The sequence below is a fragment of the Homo sapiens genome, chromosome 7 (genome assembly GCF_000001405.40).
Source record: "Homo sapiens chromosome 7, GRCh38.p14 Primary Assembly".
Lineage (NCBI taxonomy): Eukaryota > Metazoa > Chordata > Mammalia > Primates > Hominidae > Homo > Homo sapiens.
The window spans coordinates 42318154-42339479 of NC_000007.14; the positions used below are offsets into that span (position 1 = coordinate 42318154).

The following is a 21326-nucleotide window of genomic DNA, read 5'->3' on the forward strand; positions in this document are numbered from 1 at the left end:
ACAGCGCTGAAAGAGACGCTAAACAGGGTAGGAAAGACAGCCTTAATTTGCCAACACTACCCCTCCCCCAACGCCCAGCAGCAGCCATGTGGTGTGGAGAATCTATGCATTTTGGGGAGGGAGAGTGCAGTGGTTGTGGGACTTTGCGTTAGAACTCACTGCTGCCAACACTGGGCAGAACACAGCTGATGCTTAAGGAGGGAGTATTTAGACAAGCCCTGCTAGAGGAGAATTGCCCATCCTAGCCATTGGAACTTCAGTTTTGCAAGCCTCACCACTGTGGGCTAAAGTGTTCTGGGTTCTAAATAAACTTGAAAGGCGGTCTAAGCCACAAGGACTGCAACTCCTAGGCAAGTCTTAGTGTTGTGCTGGGCTTGGAGCTGGTGGACTTGGGGGGCATATTTTCCAAAGTGAGACATGAACTAGGGCAGTTAAGGGAGTGCTTGTGCCACCCTACTCCCAAACCCAGGCGGTGCAGCTCACACCTCTGAAAGAGACTCATTCCTTCTGCTTAAGCAGAGAAGAGGGAAGAGCAAAGAGGACTTTATCTTGCAACTTAGATACAAGCTCAGCCACAGTGGGATAGGGCACCGGGCAGAGTCATGAGGCACCTATTCCAGACCCTAGCTCCTGGATAATATTTCAAGACACACCCTGGGACAGTAGAGGACCTACTGCCTTGAAGGGGAGGACCCAGTCCTGGCAGGATTCATAACCTTGTGACTAAAGAGCCCTTGGGCCCTGAATAATCAGCAGCAGTAATGAGGTAGTACTTGCCATGGGCCTTGAAAGAGACTCTGAGACATGCTGACTTCAAGTGTGATCCAGCACGTTCCCAGCTGTGGGGGCTATGGGGAGATAGTCCCACTTGAAAAAAGCAAAGGGAATAGTAAAGGGGACATTTATCAGTTAATGGATGTTTGGCTTGTTTCCACTTTTTGGCTACTATGAGTAATGCTACTGTGAACATTAATGTGCAATTTTTCCTTGTGAACATATTTCATTTCATTTTGATGTACATGTGAAAATGGAATGGTTGAGTAATATCATAATTCTATGTTTATATTTTTGAGGAGCTGACAAACTGTTTTCCAAAGTGAGTTCACCATTTTACTTTCCTACAAGCAAAGAATGAGGGTCCTTATATTTGTACCTCTTTGCCAACACCTGTTATTGTCTTTTTTATTATAGCCATCCTACTGGTTATGAAGTGTTATCTCCTTATGGCTTGGATTTGCATTTCCTTGAAAACTAGTGATGTTGAACATGTTGTCATGGGTTTCTTGGTCCTTTGTGTAACTTTGGAACAATGCTAAGTCATTTGTCCTTTTAAAATTGGGTTATTTCTTCCTTTACTTTTTCTAAATTTTCCCTTTTGAGAAGCGTTTTGAGACATCTGCTTGATCTAATGAACATTCTTGTTTACAGTCTTAATGATTTCCTTTATACCAATCATTTCACAATCCTTTCAATCTAACTTTATATAATGGCCCATCTAGCCCTTTGGTCATTTTAATTGCTTTTTCCTGATCTTCCTCTGATTTTGTAAAGTTTTTCCTGAGGTATATGGATAAGAATTTTAGATGAAATTTTATTGCTGTGTACAAAGGAAAGGAAATATTTCTTTTTCCTGAGGATGCCCCAGCATGAGTCATATTGGATTTCAAACTATTAGGGAAGTATTTGAAATGACTCTTGTGTCCTTCGTCAGTCATAATTAAAGCCTCCCACGTGCTAAATTAAGTTTATGTATCCCTTATGCAGGTAGAATGGAGAAGAGAAAGCCTGGAATTTTTAATAATAATCAGGCCTGTTCAAGAAGGCTGATTTTGCTACTTACCATTTTGTGACCTGGGGCAAGTTACTCAACCACTTCATAAGTAAAAACTGGGATAATCATAACCACTTCAAAATATTGTTGTGAAGATTAAACTGATGATGACTGAAAAACAGCTCATAAGGTAACTAACAATAAATCACAAATGCTCAACAAATATTAACAACTTTCCCATGGGCCTACATAAAAATTCTTATTAGCTTTCCTTTCTACTTGTTGCTTTTGTGTGCTGTTATGCCATTTCATTTTCCTACCACTTTAAGTCCATTTTTAAAGCTTCAGGTTTTACACTGATTACAGGACATAATAAAATTTACAGGTTAATCTAATGCTAGCACTGATTTCCCAGATACACTTTGCATGTTCTTTTGTTATTCTGAGAAGTGTGCGTACATGCACGTGTGCACACACGCACACACACACGTGCACATACCCACACTCAGATCTTTTCTGTTCGTATAGCAAAACAGTCTCTGCCAGTGAATGTTCACTTATTAAAAATAAACTTTGGCATATCACTTTTTTCTCAGCTTGTTGAATAATATCCACTTTCTTCTTAAAGTGACTTTTTCAGAACCTTTAGTCTTCATTTCCAGTTTTGACTGACTAAACAGCTGTTGCCCTGAGATTTCATTTTCTTTGTAGCATAGTTTCCCTCTTTCTTGGACCTCATGCTTCTTTTTTTCATAGATCCAGTTTCATTCACAGGAATACTTTTCAGAAAGGGTGTATAAAACAAAAATCTGACTGTTGTGCTGGCCATAGAATTTTAGATACAAAACTCATATCTCTTAGAATTTGGCTTATTTCCATCTAGCATTCTCATAAGGACACTAGTAATCTGCTTGCTGTTCATTTGTAAATAAACATGGACACCACTTCTCTTCTGAAGATTTAAGGATATTTCAAAATTTTTGTTACCCTAAGTCTAAGATGTGTCTAAGAGTGGGATTTGATTGTAGTTTGGAGACTAGCATCTTTCTTTTTTTAAATTACTTTTCCAGCTTTATTGAGGTATAATTGACAAATAAAATTATATATACTTAAGGTGTACAATGTGATGTTTTGATAGACATATATAGTAAAATAATTACCACAATCAAGCAAATTAATGTATCTATCACCTAGCATAATATCACTTTTTTTGGTGATGAAAACACTTAAGAGCTACTCTCTTAGAAAATTTCAAGTATATAATACAGTATTATTAATTCCAGTCACCATGCCATACAGTAGATCGCCGGAATTTACTCATTCAGTATAGCTGACATTTTGACCAGCATTTCACCATTTCTCCCACTTCCAGCTCCTGTCAACTACCTTTCTACTCTCTGCTTCCATGAGTTTGATTATTTTAAATTCCACATATAAGTGAGATCATGCATTGCTTAGCATAATATCCTCTAGATCTATTCATGTTTTCACATATGTCAGGATTTGCTTCTTTTTTGAGGTGGAATAATATTGCATGGCATATATAAGTCACATTTTCTTTAGCCATTCATCCAGTGATGGCCATTTGTGTTGTTTCCATATTTTGGCTATTGTGAATAATGCTGTAATGAACTTAGGAGTTCAGGTATTTTTTTGAGTCCTGGTTTTAATTCTTTTAGATACATACCCACAAGTAGGATTTCTGGATCATGTTAGTTCTATTTTTAACTTTTTGAGGAAACTGCATATTGTTTTCCGTAATGGTTGTAACAATATACATTCCCACGAACAATGTGTAAGGGTTCTCCCTTTTTCATATTCTCATCAACACTTGTTACCTTTTGTCTTTTTGATTACAGTCATTCTAGAAAGTGTGAGTTATTACCTCACTGTGGTTTTGATTTGCATTTCCAAGATGATTGGTGCTGAGCACCTTTTCATATCTGTATATCTTCTTTTGAGAAATGCTTATTCAGGTCCTTTCCTCACTTTTTAACTTTTTTAAAAAAATTTTTACTATTGAGTTGTGGGAGTTCCTCATCTACTTAAGATGGTAAGCCCTTATCAGATACATGGGTTACAAATATTTCGTCCCATACTGTAGGTTGTCTCACTGTGTTGATTTTTTTCCTTTGCTGTGCTTAGCTTTTTATTTTCATGCAGTTCAACTTGTCTATTTTTGCTTTTGTTGCCTGTGCTTTTGGGGTAATATCCAAAAAATCATTGCCTAAACCAATGTTTTCCCCTTTGTTTCTTTCCAGGAGCTTGACAGTTTCTGGTCTTATGTTTAAGTCTTTAATTCATTTTTTGAGTTGATTTTTTTATATTGTGTGTGAGATAAGGGTGAAATTTCATTAGTCTGCATGTGGATATACAGTTTTACCAGCACATTTATTAAAGAGAGTATCGTTTCCTCAGAGCATATTCTTTTACCCTTGTTGAAAATTAGTTGACTGGGTTAATTTCATTCTATTGATCTATGTGTCTGGTTTTATGCCAGTATTGTACCATTTTGATTACTGTAGCTTTATAGTATAATTTAAAATCAGTAAGTGTGATGCCTCTAGTTTTGTTATTTTTGCTCAAAATTGCTTTGGCTACTTGGGGTCTTTCTGGTTCATATGTATTTACGATTGTTGTTTCTATTTCTTTGAAAAATGCCACTGCAATTTTCAAAAGAATTGCATTGTATCTGCAGATCTCTTAATGTTTAGCCTATTAGGGATTTTCTGGGCACTAAGACTATGGATGTTCAATTCTATTCTCTGGTTTTGGAAGTTTTCTGTCATTATTTCTTTAAATAAGCTTTCTTTTCCCTTCAGTTTCTCTATTTCTTTTAGGACATCCATAATGTATATATTGGTTCACTTAATGTTCCCATTAGTCACATAAGCTTTCCTCACCCTTTTTAATCATTTTTCCCTCTAACTTAATAATTTCAAATAACCTGTCTTTGAGTTCAGTCATTGTTTATTTTCCTTCATGACTGAGACTCTGTATTACATTTCAGACCAATCATTTTATTCTCAGCTCTAGGATTTCTATTTGGATCTTTTTAATGTTTATTATTTCTTCGACAGACTTCTTATTTCATTCATGTGTTATTTTTCTAATTTCACTTAGTTGTCTATCTCTGTTCTCTTGTAGCTCATCGAGTTTGTTTAACACATTTATTTTGAATTCTTTGTCAATCAGTTCATGAATTCTTTGTCAATCAGTCCTTTACTTTAGGGTTGGTTACTAAAGCTTTTATTAGTTTCTTTTGGTAGTGTCACATTTGCCTGGTTCTTTGTGATCCATGTAGAGTGGGGCTGGAGTAAAGTCATGAGACTTTTCTCAGACAACACAGTTGGGTCTGAAGTCAGCATGCTTGTAACCTAGAGGCCTGGATACTCCTGGTTCCCTTGGCCAGGGGGATATGACTGCTTCTGGTCTGTAGCCAGAACCACAGATGGCAGGCCTGCTAGTGGTGCATGGACTTGCTTTCTCAAAGCAACCCTCCTTGGTCTTGGTCTCTACTGGGCTTTTGCAACCTTCTACCTAGATTCCAAAGTTTCCAAAAACACAGTTCATTCCAAGGATAGCAGCCAAATATTTGGTTTTTTTGGTGGGACATGGGCTGGTGACCTCTTGTTCTACTATCTTTCTGATGTAAACACTAGCGTCTTTCTTAGGCTTTAAGAAATCTTTTTTTCCTCCCCCCTTTTCTAGTCCTCCCACGTCCTCTTCCTTCTTCTCTTCCTCCTCCCTCTTTATATTTCCTCCTTTCTGTTTTCTTTTTCTGGAACTCCTATAAGACAGATGTTGAACTTTTGGTTTTATCCCTGATGTTTCTTAACTCTTCTTTTATATTTTCTTTTTCTGATATTTTTATTTTAGTTTCAGGGTAGTTTCTTTGGCTTTAATTTTTAGGACTTCGGGATTATACTTGCATTTCCATAAACTCTTTCTGATACTATGATGCTCATTTAAAAAAATGAAATCTCTTTCTATTTTACAGATCCATTATATTTGACATTTCCTGGTGCTATTAGTTATATTTTCTAAAATGTTTTCATCCTATATTTGAATAATAAATACCTATTTCTCATAGTCAGTAATTGCTTATGAATATCTGTCTTTTATTTTGTATTTGATTTTTTTCAAATATTTGGTGATCTTATTGTCCATTTGAAACCTTATGAAAGGTTTCCTATATGACTTTCTACATGTTTTTTTTTTCCCCAATCAACATCTCCCCTCAATTTTCAACTTCTAATTCTGTGTTTGTGGGCAGGGCTTATCTTTAGTCTTAGCTCTCAGGCAAACATTTGTTCAGCTCCTGTGGAAGCAGTTTGGAGGTTTCTTGAAGAATTAAAAATAGAATTATCATTCAACCTGCAATTCCATTACTGGGTATATACCCAAAGGAAAGTAAATCATTCTGCCAAAAGGACAAATGCATTCACATGTTTATCACAGCACTACTCACATAGCAAACGAATGGGATCCACCTTGGTACCCATCAACAGTATATTGGATAAAGAAAATTTACCCAATTTAGTACATAAACACCATGGAATACTATGTAACCATAAAAAAGAACAAAATAATATCCTTTGCAGCAAGCTGGATGCAGCTAGAGGCCATTATCCTAAGTGAATTAACACAGTAACAGAAAACAAAATACTGCATGTTCTCACTTATAATTTGGAGCTAAACATTGGGTACACATGGACATAATGATGGGTACAATAAACACTGGGGACTCCAAAAGAGGGAGAGAGAGGGCAAAAGTTGAAGAACTATCTACTGTGTACTATGTTCACTATTTGGGAGATGGGTTCAATTAAAGCCCAAACCACAGCATCAGTGCAACAAACCTGCACATGTACCTCCTGAATAAAAACCAACCAAACAAACAAACAAAAAACCACAAAAACAACAACAACAACAACAACAAAAAGCATATTTAAAAACGAACAGATAAGCAAGCAAAAACTCACTGTCTCAGTCTGAGAGCAAAGGGAGAAAAAAACAGAGAGATTAAAAAAAAAACCACTCAGATCCATCGAACGTGCTAACTAGAGATATGCTAGAGAAAAAAGATAGCAACAAACTTAGTTGTTCAAATAAAGTTCCTCCTAAAAAATTGGAGAAATTCACATTGAACACACAGGACTCTACTGCATAAAAAGAGTAACAGAAATTTATGTTACTTCATTACTGTAATATTAAAAACTGAGGTACATGTGGCAGAGATATGTAGTGGTCAACACTAGGCGTTCAGAAGTCAGGCTTCAGAAATGCCAATAGCACCTTCAGTTTAAGAACCTGCTGGGTCGACTGACCCCATGAAGCAAATGTAGGGACCAGTGCAAAATTATCCCAGGAAGTAGGCTTTGTGGATGTAAGTAACTCTAGAGCATAGGAAATAAAATCACTGGATAGAGCCTGCACCCAGGACCAACAATAGAAAACTGTAAATGGAATGAGCATTAACGGTCTTGGATTCAGCAGGTGGGAAAGAAAGACACCTTAAGCTTGTGGGACGCCTTTGATACAAAGTTCTGAGTTATGTAAGAAAGCTAAAATATCACAGCTGCCCTTCACTGGGAGAGTAGCATAGAAGGATTCACTCTCACTACCCCCTTCAGATATGCTGAACACAATTCCACAATTAACCTCCTGACTTTCCATTCTGAACCATAGACATCAACTGGCCTCTGGGTGAGACAGAATGTCTTCTCTTTCTCCAGATAACCCAGATGATCTTCTATAGAATTTACGGGAATGAGATCATATGCAGATAAAATCAGCACTGGGAAGTTAGATTGCTCTTTTCCTCTTCTAAGAGGAAGAGTCATATCCCTGGGTGACCACAGTCACTGAGGTTACATCAAATGACTTAAGAGAACAAAAGCTCTGCAGATTGTGATAGTTGGCACTTATCCCCCACTAAGAATGGAGTTTCCATTCTTAGTTACTTCTGCTAGTAACACTCCTGGCCTCTCTCTGTACCCCTCAGTCCCATGTCAATGGTAAATTTGCTAGAAAAAAGTGAGCTCAACAACATCTTTCTCTTTTGTATCTTCCAGGAACACATTCTGGTCTGTTCTCTGCCACACAGTAAGGGACCTGACTCTGGCCTGAGGTTATCTGACTCCACAAGTAACTGAGTAGGAAAGTTTGTCTAATTTAGAAAGGAGGTATAGGCTAGCCCATTGAACCATAGAACTAAAGGCATGAACTTCAACCAGTTATCTCATAGACATAGTGCTTTCCTCTTGATACGACTGACTCCTATCACTGTCTTCCACTTGATTGAACTTGAAAGAAGAGAAGGAGCACTGTATTAGTTTGCCAGCGCAGCCATAACAAAAAGCACCACAGACTGATCACTTAAACAACAGAAATTTATTTTCTTACAAGTCTAGAGGCTAGAAATCTGAGATTAAGGTGTCTGTAGGGTTGATTTATCCTGAGGCCTCTCTCCTTCGCTTGTAGATGGCGTCATTTTCCTGAGTCTTCATGTAATCTTTCCTCTGTATCTGTCTGTGTCTTAATCTCTTCTTCTTTTAAGTCACCTGTCACATTGGGTTAAGGGTCACCCTAATGACCTTATTTTAATTTAATTACCTCTTTAAAGACCTTGTCTCCAGAAGCAGTCACATTCTGAGGTACTGAGGGTTAGGAGTTTGACAAATTTTGGGAGGACACAATTCAGTCCACAACAAGTATTGTTTATTGGATTCCTCTAAAACTCCAGCTGGTACAGATGGATGCATTTCTAGTTTTGTCAAAGGGTTACATTCCTTAACTTCCATAGCATCGATTGCAGGTATAACACAGAATGGTTTCTTGGTATAGCTGTTAGTTCTGGACTTTATCGTAAGTTTTAATCGTTTACTTTTAAATATAACTTACCAACATAAGCCTAATAAATAAAATTAATTACACAATCAAATATGCTAAGAAGAACCAGATCATTTCAGCCTGGAGTAGAATGTGACCTCAAGCATTTCAACCATGATTATAAATTACCATTGTATCATTCAAAAATGAGTGATTTTATCAGTCATTTCTCATAATTAATTCTTATACAAAGAAACATGGGCTCAGAATGACAAAGAGAGTTTTTAAATCACAGAAAGTTAAAATAAGACCCTGGAAAGAGGCAATAGAAGAACTGACAGGGTGTTAAATCTGTACCTAAAACCTATAGTAAGGAAGCATGCAACTTGAATTAAAATGGTTGGAGGAAACTGTATGGATGAAACAGAAAATGCCCTGTGTCCTCAGAGGTTAAAGATTTAAGGCAAGTGAGTAGGACTTATTTGGTAAGACTTCTAGGGAGAAAGTGTCTTAGGTTCTTATTCTGGGATGAGGCCAGAGTAAAGAGGCTGAAAGGAATGGATAGCCTCATCTACAAAGACCCAGGCTGGGAGGGACAAGGCATTTTTATAGTTTGGGGAGCAGAGGGCTCATGGAAAGGAGGAAGGGAGCACAAACTAGAATAGATCGTTGGAAGAAAGTCACATCCTCAAATTCCAGAGGGAACTTTGTGTGCGAAGGCAGGCAGTGTTTTGTGACTGTTGTCCCTGGCTTGGGAACCACAGAAGATAGAGAAAGTGTATACCCCAGGTGGTAGGGAATAGGCCAGGGAGGTAGATAAGGACTAGCTTTGAAGAGCTTTGACTCTGATCCTGGGTTGGTTTCTCTCCCTTCTTCACCATGGTATCCTATATTGTTACTAACTGAAAGTCACCACTTCTTCAAAACCAGTTGTTTTAAGTGCTAAACTTGTCCTTCAGATTGATCTTGGAGGTAAATCAAGTGACTGATTTTTCGTTCACCATTTATGTCCTGGAGATTAGGGGAGGGCGTCAGAGGCAAGTAACTGGTAATCGTTGAAACATTTGTAGACATGTCCTTCTTAATTGACTTTGGCCCACTGGTTTACAAGTCTGAGGAGGTGCCTCTAATACAGCGGAGCGCAGATTTTAGACACAGTTTAATTAAATAGTCTGGTGCATTATTTGTTTCCTTCCTCAGCATTTAAAGAATAGCCCATCCATAAGGAACCCTATAAAATATTGTGCCGTTTTATGTATCTTTTAGTTCTTCAGTGCCAGGAAAATAAAATCCCTTTGATCCAAAAGAGTTGTGAGGCAAACTTTTGAAGTTCTCTCCCCACCTTCTCTGGAATCTTTAATCTTTTGAGATCATGAAAGTAAAAAATATTTTTGAAAATCACCAGTCAAATTTAGGACTAAGAAAACGGTGAATTTTTTGGAGTCTGTAGATGTAGGTGGAAAGCATGGACTTTGCCTGCCACAGACCCTATCTTTGCCTCATAGGGTTTTTCAAGCTCTTATCCTGCTTATTGCTCTTGGCTCTGCAATATCCATTTTTTTTTGCCTAATCTCCTTTCCATACAAAAGCAAGGATCTAATTATTTTAGGATCTGGTTCTTGAGTAGGCCAAAAAAAGGTAAAAAAGTTGTCTAAGGAAATCTAGGGAGGTACAGGAGGGCAGTCCATTGAACTAAAATCAGCCTCTCCTACTTTCATTTATCTCCTTAATAAATAGATATTAATCATCTTTTATGTGCCAGGCATTTGCTAGAAGTGTGATTTTTATCAAATTACTTAACTTCTTTATATTTCTGATTCCTCACAATGTTGTTGATAAGATGGACTGACATAACATGTGAAATATTGACTAATATGTGGCATAACGGGGCCTCAACAAGTATAGACTCTTCTTTACCTTCTTCATTGGTTTTTGCAGATTAATGTTGAAATGTGTGTGATGTTTTTGAAGACTATGAAGTAAAAAATTCCTGGTTCTTATCTTATATCCACCATTTACTGAACTTTTCCAAGTTTATACAACTTTTTAAGCAATAGCGTCCCTATTTGGGAACAGTATTAAGAATACCAACCTAGGCTGTGTACTTGTGAGGATCCGTGAGATAATCTGGCACAAAGCCTGGACTGAGGGAGACAGGAGATGCTGTTGCTCTTCTCTTCCCAGAGTGGGGTTCTCCCTCCATGCATCACCATATCTTAATCCTGGGACTCTAAGCTACCAAATGAATGAGAAATTCAAGCCCTAGAAAGATTGAAAAGAGAGAGCCTTTTAGGTAGGAAGGCTTTAAAGTAGGTGTTTCATATATCTTTTTTTAAGAAAGCTATAATGTTCCATATATGAGATTTTCATAGCAAACTTAATGTTATATTTTAAAGTTACCATTTTTACAAGGGCATCTTACTCATCATTAGTGTTTAACACACAAAAAAAGGGTAAAATATGCTTTCATAGAATGAAAGTAAAATCATCCCAGAGAAGTTTTGTGAGGGTAAAATAATGCCAACAAATCAATTAATTAATCAAACCAGTATTAGTGTTATCAAGTGAAGAACCTGATTAAAAGCCAAGATCAAATTCTACATTTCACATAGCAGATTTGATATAATAAAGAAAATGAAGATGACAACAAAAGTCCACTGGATCCTGGACCTTAGATGTGGCAAATAAAATAATCTGGATCAAGCTTATCTACAAAGGGCACAACTATTAATTAATTATAATTAACACCTCTATTACCAGATTCTCTTCTCCTTTCACATTTGGTATTTATAATTTCTTAATAATAAATTAATATTGAAATTAGATTATCAGATATCTGAGTTAATATAGTTATACTATGTTTGCATTTATTTACTTATTACTATTAATCTCGCAAAATATTTGAGAAGTCATAATGAATCAGGTCCATTTTAAGATTATAAATATAGAAATGTGCTCTCTAAACCCAAAGGGGACCACAGGAAGACCTGCCAATATAAAGTCCATTAAAAGGCATTTAAGTTTTCAGTTATTCAACAAACATGATAGTGTAATACATATAATCAAAGAGAAATCTTTCCCCTTTCTTCCTTCCTTCCTTCCTTCCTTCCTTCCTTCCTTCCTTCCTTCCTTCCTTCCTTCCTTCTTTCTTTCTCTCTCTTTCTTTCTTCTTTCTTTCTCTCTCTCTTTCTTTCTTCTTTCTTTCTCTCTCTCTCTTTCTCTCTCTTTCTTCCCCTCCCTCCCTTCCTTCCTTCCTTTTTTTTTTTTTTTTTTATTTTGAGATGGAGTCTCACTCTCTCACCTAGGCTGGAGTGCAGTGGTGCAATCCTGGCTCCCTGCAACCTCTGCCTCCCAGGTTCAAGCGATTCTTATGCCTCAGCCTCCTGAGTAGCTGGGATTACAGGCACCCACCACAATGCCTGGCTACTTTTTTTTTTTTTTTTTTCTTTTTGTATTTTTAGTAGAGACAGGGTTTCACCATGTCTGCCAGGCTGGTCTCGAAATCCTGGCCTCAAGTGATCTGCCTGCCTCAGCCTCCCGAAGTGCAGAGATTACAGGCATGAGCCACCATGCCCAGGCTGAAAGAGAAATGTTTCACAAGTCTGTGAAAAAATATTGTACTTATTTATTTATTTATTTTGCTTTTTGAGACGGAGTTTCGATCTGTTGCTCAGGCTGGAGTGCAATGGCGCAATCTTGGTTCACTGCAACCTCTGCCTCCCGGGTTCAAGCAATTCTCCTGCCTCAGCCTCCTGAGTAGCTGGGATTACAGACGTGCACCCCTATGCCAGGCTAATTTTTGTATTTTCAGTAGAGACGGGGTTTCACCATGTTGGTCAGGCTGGTCTCAAACTCCTGACCTTGTGATTTGCTGGCCTCAGCCTCCCAAAGTGCTGGGATTATAGGTGTGAGTCATCGTGCCCAGCCAAAATATTCTATTTTTAAAGCAAATATGCCCAAAGGGCTTTATGATTTAAGAATGACCTTGTGGTTGTCAGGAAAAATGGTGGAAGAAAAACATCTGAAAAGCCTCTTCTCCATAAAAGCAATGAGAACGCTGGAAAAACATGGTCGAAATTAACTTTTTAAAAACACCGGGGCCAGGCGCAGTGGCTCACACCTGTAATCCCAGCACTTTGGGAGGCTGAGGCGGGCGGATCACGAGGTCAGGAGTTCAAGACCATCTGGCCAACGTGGTGAAACCCCGTCTCTACTAAAAATGCAAAAATTAGCTGGGTATGGTGGTGCGTGCTTGTAATCCCAGCCACTTGGGAGGCTGAGGCAGGAGAATCACTTGAGCCAAGGAGTCGGAGGTTGCAGTGAGCTGAGATTGACCCACTGCCCTCCAGCCTGGCAACAGAGCAAGACTCCGTCTCCAAACAAACAAACGAACAAACAACCACTGGAAAACCAGCAGTCTAGCAGATACTGGAGTGGTCAGAAAAGTGTTAGGGATCTTTCAAAGCTCCATTTCAGAGCGGTATCATTATTTGACCTGTATGATAGTTCCCTGGAAACCCCACTTTTACAGTTTGTCTTCTCTTGACCTGACTTAAAACTCACCCACTAGAATAACCTTTTCTATGGGGGCATTTATCAGAAACAATTGATAGTGATTGTTTATCATCAGAGCTACCTGAGGTGGAGATATTTGGGGTAAACAACAAGCTATTCAGAAAATTTAAAAGGAAAGACTGGGTAGTGAATTCTACAGGGGGCTTTAAAAAGTTCTGACATATTCTTGGGAATTTAGAAAGCTACATGCATGTGTAGGGCTGTGTGCATGCTCTGAAAATATCTGAAAAAACTCTAAGTTCTGACCTCTGGCTAACCTTCAGGTTCTGCCAAGCAGGAAGTGAAAGCTAAGGCACAATTCTAAACTGCCTAGCTAAGTAGTGAAGGCTTACTCCAACATACATACAGAGGTCCTTGACAAAGACTGGGAGATTTATTAGTTCCAGGCATTTAAGGAAATCCTCTTTCCAATAACTATCTAACTACTAAACCAATCAAGCAGAGATTTCAGTGGCATACATGAGAAAGAATGCAGAATTTACAGAATTAGTTCAGGGAATTCACCAGAAAACAGGAGAGCAAAACCAACAACAATAAACAGCAATACAGACAGCAACAAACCCTGGAGAGGAAGAAAGATCTGATTTTCTGATTTAAAATGTCCAATTTTTCCAACAAAAATTGTGATATGGAAAGAAAAAATATGGCTCATATGCAAGAAAAGAAAAAGAGTCAGTACAACCAGTTAATTCCTCAAGGAATCCTAGACATTGGGCTTACTTGACAAAGACCTTATTATTTATTTATTTTTATTTTTTAGAGACTGGGTCCCACTTTGTCACCCAGGCTGGAGTACAGTGGTGCAATCATGGCTCACTGCAGCCTCAAACTCCTGGGAGTACAAGCACACACCACCATGTCTGGCTAATTTTTTAATTAAAAGAAGGTTTTTTTTGGTAGAGATGAAGTCTTGCTATATTTCCCAGGCCTGTCATGAACTGATGGCCTCAAGTGATCCTCCTGCCTCGGACCCCCAAAGTGCTGGAATTACACTGTACCTGGCCAACAAAGACTTTAAATCAGTTATTTTAAATATGTCCAAAGAACTAAAGTAAACCACATCTAAAGAACTAATAGAAAGTGTAATAATGATGTCTCACCACATAGAGAATGTCAATAAAATTTATAAATAATAAAAAAAGAATTAAAAATAATCTGCAGTTGAAAGGTAAAATAATGAAAATAAAAAATTCACTAGAGGGTCTCAGCAGTATCTTTGAACAGATGGAGAAAAGAATCAGCAGATCTGGAAACAGGTCAATGGAGAATACGCTGTCTGAAGAAAAATAAAAGAATGAAGGAAAAAACCCCCATAGGGTTGCAAGACATTATAAAGAGTCCCAATATATGCACAATGTAAGTCCCAAAAGGAGAGGATATAGGAAAAGGGGCAAAAGAATAAGTAAAGAAATAATGGCCCCAAACTTACCAAATTTGATGAAAAACATTAATCTACATATCCAAGAAGTTCAATGAACTCCAGGTAGGACTAAATCAGAGATCTGCGGCCAGACACATCATAAACTGTCAAAGGCAAGAGACAAAGAAAGAATCTTAAAAGCAGCAAGAGAGAAGCATCATGTACAAGGAAGCCTTAATAAAATTAATAGCTGATTTCTTATCAAAAATCATGGAGGCCAGAAGAAATGGAATGATGTATTTAGTGTTGAAAGAAAAAGACTGTTAACCAAGAATTCTATATGCAGCAAAACTATCCTTCAAAATGAAGGGGAGGAAAATGACAAGGATATCTGCTCTTATCATTTTCACTCAACATTGTACTGGAATTTCTAGCCGAGGTAATTAAGCAAAGAAAAAAATGCATTCAGATGGAAATGAAGCAGTAAAAATACTTCCATTTTCAGACTATGTTATCTTTTTATAAACAAAATCCTAAGGAATCCATTACACAGCTATTAGAGCTAGCTAATAAACAAGCTTAGCAATGTTGCAGGATACAAGATCTAAATTTTGAAATACATTATATTTCTATGCACTATCAATGGACAATCCAAAATATAATTTAAATATTCATTAAAAATAGCATAAAAAAGGATAAAATAATTAGTAATAAATTTAACAAAAGAAATGCAGGTTTGCACACTGTAAACTATAAAACATTGTTGAAAGAAATTAAATAAGACCTAATAGGAAGACATTTCATGTTCATGGAAGATTTAATATTGTTAAGATGGTTACATTCCCCAGATTTATATACAAAGTTAATGAATTCCCTATAAAAATCCAGTTGCGTTTTTTTGCAGACATTAATAGCTGATTCCAAACTTCACAGAGAAATGTAGGGAACCCAGAATAGCTAAAACAGTCTTTAAAAGGAACAGAGAAAATGCACACTTCCTGATTTCAAATTTTACTACTAAGCCATGATAGCTTCATAAGAAGAGAGTGTGGTACTGGCATAAGAATAGATTTATAGAACAATGAAATAGGATTAAGAATCAAGAAACAAAGATCTTATATTTATGGTCAGTTGGTTTACTTTAAGGGTATCAACATAATTTAATGAGGAAAAAACAGTCCAGTCCTTTCAACAAATAGTGCTGGGCAACTATTGATAGTCATATGCAAAAAAAAAAAAAAAAAGTTAAATTGTTACTGCACATCATATATAAAAATTAATTCAAAATTGATCAAAGACCTAAATATAAGAACAAAAACTATAAAATTCTTAAGAAGACATAGGTGTGAATCTCTGTGACCTTGGATTAGGCGATTTTTTTTTTCTGGATATGATTCCAAAAGCAAAGCAACCAAAGAAAAAAAATTTGACTTCATCAAAACTAAAAAATGTTGCACATCAATGGACACTATCAAGGTGAAAAGAACACAGAGAGTGAGAAACATATTTGTAAATTATATGTCTGATAAAGGGGCATGTATCCAGACTACGTAAAGAATGTTTATAATAAAAATACAAATAATTTAATTTTAAAATGGGAAAAAATTGAATGGAGATTTCTACACAGAAGACATGCAATTGGCCAATAAGAACATGAAAATATGCTTAACATATTTAATCATTAGGAAAATGCAAATCAAAAATCACAATGAGACAGCACTTCACACTCATTAGTGTAGCTATACTTTTTTAAATGGACAATAACGTGTTGGCATGGATGTGGTAAAATTGGAACCCTTACACACAGCTTAAGAGAAGTAAAATGGTTTAACTGCTATGGAGTACAGTTTGGCAGTTTCTTGAAATGCTAAACATGGAGTTGTCATTAACCTAGAAAGTGCAGTCCTAACTATTTCATGAAGAGAAATAAATACATATGTACACACAAAAACTTGTTCATGAATGTTTATATCAGCTTATTTGTAATGGCCCCAAAGGGGAAACAACCCAAATATCTATCACCTAATGAATGGATAAACACAATATGGTATATCTAGTATATCTAATGTTCCAATGGAATATTATTCAGCTATAACAAAGAAGGAAGTATGCTACAACATGGATGAATCTTGAAAACATGCTGAGTAAAAAAAGCCAGACAGAAAAGGCCACATAATATATTATTCTATTTATATGAAATGTTCAGAATATGCACATCCATAGAGATAGAAAGTAGATTAGTAGTACCTAGGGATAGGGTGCAGGAGAAATTGATTAATAGATAAAGGGTGATTGTTAATAGGTAAAGGGTTTCTTTTTGTGGTAATGAAAGGGTTTTAAAATTGACTGTAGTAATGGTTGCACAATTTTGTCAATGTACTATAAACCATTAAATGGTACACTTTAAATGGGTGAATTATGGTATGTAAATATAAATGTGCCATGATAATCATATCTCTTTCTGAGCTCCATAGGCATACTATCCAATTGCTTACCTGAAATCTTCTTTGGATACCTCAATGGTATCTCAACAACAGTATATTCCATTTGGATTCATTATCTACCTCTTTTCCACTCATACGTCTTTCAGAATTCCTTATCTCAATTGCAAAAATCAGTCCGTCATTCAGTTGCATACTGTAGAAACCTGAGAGCCATTCTTTAAACTTCCCTCCTTTTAACTACTTGTTCATCTTACTTCCCAGGCATCTCTTTTATCCACTTTTATACATCTCTACCTCACCACCATAGTAAGTCTGGACCGTTTTAATAGTATCCTAACTAATCTTCCCATATCCATTCACAGCTTTTTCAAATCTCCACGTTCTCCACTTTAAATCAGGGTGCATTTTCAGAATGCTAATCCAATCATGTCACCCTCAACTGAACCCGTAGACTCAAATTGTAGAGGATCCTACATATTCTGGCCCCTTTCTGCTTGTTCAACCTTTCACACCTGATTTCTGCTAAAAAAAAAAAAAGTCAACAAATATAGCAAAAATCAACAAAGATAGCAAAAAATTATTAAACTGATTATGTATTTTAATGTCTCTTACAAATATCTATACATGAAGCACAACATTTTTCAAGATTTCATGAATAGGTAGGTAATTTAGAATTATTGTGTTTAAAATAAATTCTTCAATATATTTTCAGTGATAATTCTTGATGGTATTCTTGTAATGACTGATTATAAACTTATATTTCAATTAAACAGATAGACCAATCTTTCGTTTTATTATTTTCCCCCACAGTTTGAAAGCGGAGGTAGCCTTTCTTCAAATGGAATCTTATTAGAAAACTAAATGTGAAACAAGAAAAATTAGTTGCCCTGGTGAGGGGTAGTGGAAACTGGTCTTCTGTCAGCTTGATCCCTTTCTTAGTATCTGATCTAGATTCCCAATTATGTAGGAGACACAATTGAAATTCACTGGCCTAACCTATTAAACACTGTTTATAAAAAAGAGTGATGTCATGCTTTGATTTTTTCATTTGCATTAATATTTTTTCTAAAAAACTTACTTTTGAAATCTTCCACGGACCTCTTTTTAATATCATGGGTAGTACCTCCATTCCTCTTTTTTTCTTGTAGTTCCTGCATGTTGGTTTATATTATTTTTTTCCTTTCCTGGCCACCTGTACTGTATTCATATCTCCTGTGAGAATCACCTCAAGGGTTCTCCATAATAGTTTACAGAAAAATCCATCATTGAGATGCATTTATTTCTTCATTTGGTAAGATTAATGGTGCTTTCGGAAGCATTGACAATTTACCCTTTCGCTGACCCTGCGAATGATGCTGATGTGGCCATGGAGCACTCAGAGATGAGCATATAAATGCCAGTCCTCTCAGAAAGTCTTACTGCACTCCTCCCCTCAGATAGTATCTTTTCAAATGTCTGGCTTCTACTTCTTCAACTTTTTCCATGCCTCAAAGTGCTACTGTCTCCAGTGATGTATCGGTAAATGTTTAATAATTGGCTCTCTTGAGGGTCAGGTGGGGGAGAAAGCCCTGATTTATAGTGTTTCCCTATTTCAGGATATTTACACGCTGGCTAATTTCAAACTACCAGCGCTGCCACTGGGTGTGGACTGAAGAAGAGCCATGTGGTGGCAGAGGGTTGAATAGTATTTCCAGCAGACAGAGACGGGAGATGTAAACAACCCCAAGGCATAAATGATAGTAAGATAATTAGGAAGGAGTGAGTTTTGAGTCTTGGAAATGCTTCAGCACAGGGTGACTGTCTCACTCATGGGTAGCCACTAACTGGAAGTGGTAAGGATGCGTGGGCTATTTTCCTAAACGTCAAAGAACAGAGGGAGCAGAGATGGCAAATTGGTTTAACTTGGGAGCCATATCTTGTCAGTTGCTTGTGATTTAGTTGGCTGTGTTAAAAAGAATTCTGAAACTCTGTTCTGAGAGTTCTATAGTCTATTATTAATGTTCACTAAGGGCTAAGAAGGAAGGCATATTATATTTTATTCCACACACTTTTCATCCCCTTTATAAGCATATTTACATTGTAAAGCATCCCCTTTATAACCATCTAAGCAGTAGAGGAATATACAGGATCTATTTCACTCTCCTTTGACCTCTATGCACATCTGCCCATGCCCCACATATGATTCTGTGGTCCCTGCAGGTCCAGAGATGCCTTCCCACCCAGCTTTCTGTGCTCGCCACTGCCTCCCAGACACTGCCCTCCGTGCCCCCCCGGCCCTCAGCCCTGGTGGCCATGGCGGTAGCCTGGAGGGCATCATAAGGGCTCTGGCTTCCCTTCTGGAGCACTCTGGCACTCGATGCCATGACCTTGTCTCCTTGGCTTTCTGCTCCTTGGTTGCACACCCCACCCCGTGATATCTGCTATGTCCCCTCCATTTGCTGGTTCGATGGGCAACCCTTCCATGCTTCACAGACACCAGCTTCTTGTTTTTCTCTCAGCTCAGCCTGTGTCGAATTCCTTAGGCCATAGGGAAGAGACATTCTCTCACCTGACCTGAGGCTCAGGGAATCTTTCCTGACCAGGTGACGCTTCCTGTTAGCTGAGGCTCAGGGAGTCCTTCCTGACCAGGTGACGCTTCCTGTTGCCTCCCCCTCATAATTCCCTCTCTGCTCCCAGCTCCAGCAAAGGGTTTTGGTGTCATTCAGGATTCCAATTAGATATTTGCACTGAGTTCACCTACACAGGGCGGGTACACAGCGTGTGATCGAGTCTTCGTTCAGTCAAATTCTTTTCAGTCTATGTACTTTCTCCCTAAGAGGGTTAAAACTTGAGGGCAAAAAAAAAAAAAAAAATCAATCAATCAATCAATTGTATGTTATGTAATTCCCACAACCCTTAGAAAATACACTTTTTTATTGCTAGAAAGTGGTGACCAGAAATATTAGAAACCGAGGTGACCTTCTGATGGCTTTTAAAGGTTAAATATATTTGGGAGAAACTTGTTGGCATTTTCATTACAACTAGAGGTTCAATGATTTCCCCTTATTATGCTAACAATTGGCTTTAAAAAATAACCAGAAGTTGTCTTGTACTCACCAGTTAGATGACAAACTGTCCTTCACCCTGAAATGGGCTGAACTGCTGTTAACACACTTCTGACGGGGAGGCTTCTGGACTCTCAGGAAGATGAAAAGCTAACAGAGACAGAAAGAGAAAGCAACTGCCAGAGCTGTTGCGGTGGAATGAAGGGGCAGGGCTGCACATTTTTGGGTTTTAGTTTTTAATTTTTCAAACACCATTGAGTGTATGAGGGTTTTGGCTTGTGAACAGCAATCTTTCCCTCATGGGCCTATCCTAGTTTGTGGTCACAAGGAGACACTTGGAGAGCACAGGTCAGAATAAGTGAACAGGCAGCAGAGGTCATACAAGGAAAACACTAGAGAAAGGATGCTTTAAAAACAATGCTATAAAATGATAGCAGGCAAAGAGGTCTTTAAAATGTCACTTGAGTAAGCACCAAAACATTGAAATTCCCCAAAGTCTGTGGAAAGAATGAATGGTGATTTGCAAAGTTTTATGTATAAATACAAGCTCTCTTTTAACTAAGATCTAAGTTCTCAGGCTTTGCGTGCTGGAGGAGGGGCGGAGAGTATGAGATACAAAGTTTCCTAAAGAAAATGAGAACAAAGGTAAAGAAATGAAATGAGACTGCCTCACAAACATGGCATGCAGGAAATGCCCAGAATAGAGACAGAATAGGAGTCACTGCTGCTTCTTAGATGCTATTTACTTGAAGTGTGTTTTATCTTAAACATATCCTTCTGTGTGCTGTTTTCATTATCCTCATTAGGAGATTAGGGGAACATTTACTCAGTTTAAAATTCTTGCCTTTCATTCCCTCAAGACTCATCAAACGCTGGAGTAATGTAGAAGAATAAATAATATTGTAAAAGAATTTTTTCTTTACTGAATCACAGGGAACATAACATTACTTTTAAATATGTTCTTAAAGAGAAAAGGTCTTTTCACAGTGGTAACGCTTCATATTTTAGAAGAAAATGTGCATTTAATTAAAATTCCATATGACAATCATAGCATATTATTTAAATACCAAATGACTATTAAAATCACATTTAATTGTGGTCTAAAAAATATAACAGATATGTACCCACAAAACAGCTGTTAAACATCACCAAAATTTCCTTGATCAGCTTTCTTTTTTTCCTTAAGCATTTCCCAATTACAATTAGCCCGGTTTTGAGAAACGTTTCTTATGCACACATGCACACATACACACATGCAGACACACCAGACACACACACTCATCTTATGAATGTTATAA

General features: G+C 37.4%; 1 long non-coding RNA gene across 2 annotated transcripts, besides 2 other annotated features; it reads right to left on the reverse strand.

The window, feature by feature from the left end:
- Positions 1 to 8148: 8148 nt before the first annotated feature.
- LOC105375249 (uncharacterized) lies at positions 8149 to 20183 on the reverse strand. Of its 2 annotated transcripts, XR_927202.3 has the most exons (4): positions 20081 to 20183; positions 19725 to 19810; positions 14610 to 14704; positions 8149 to 10867 (listed from the first exon to the last, which is right to left on the reverse strand). It is a non-coding gene; the product is annotated as an uncharacterized LOC105375249 (long non-coding RNA). The 2 variants fall into 2 exon arrangements; XR_001745011.3 differs by lacking the exon at positions 14610 to 14704.
- Positions 18796 to 19300: an enhancer, noted in NCBI's record as "H3K27ac-H3K4me1 hESC enhancer chr7:42376548-42377052 (GRCh37/hg19 assembly coordinates)". NCBI's record gives its function as "activates a minimal SCP1, AML or CMV promoter by ChIP-STARR-seq in primed H9 embryonic stem cells {active_cell/tissue: H9 hESC(primed)}" and the evidence as "EXISTENCE:reporter gene assay evidence [ECO:0000049][PMID:30033119]".
- Positions 19301 to 19805: an enhancer, noted in NCBI's record as "H3K27ac-H3K4me1 hESC enhancer chr7:42377053-42377557 (GRCh37/hg19 assembly coordinates)". NCBI's record gives its function as "activates a minimal SCP1, AML or CMV promoter by ChIP-STARR-seq in primed H9 embryonic stem cells {active_cell/tissue: H9 hESC(primed)}" and the evidence as "EXISTENCE:reporter gene assay evidence [ECO:0000049][PMID:30033119]".
- Positions 20184 to 21326: the final 1143 nt, after the last annotated feature.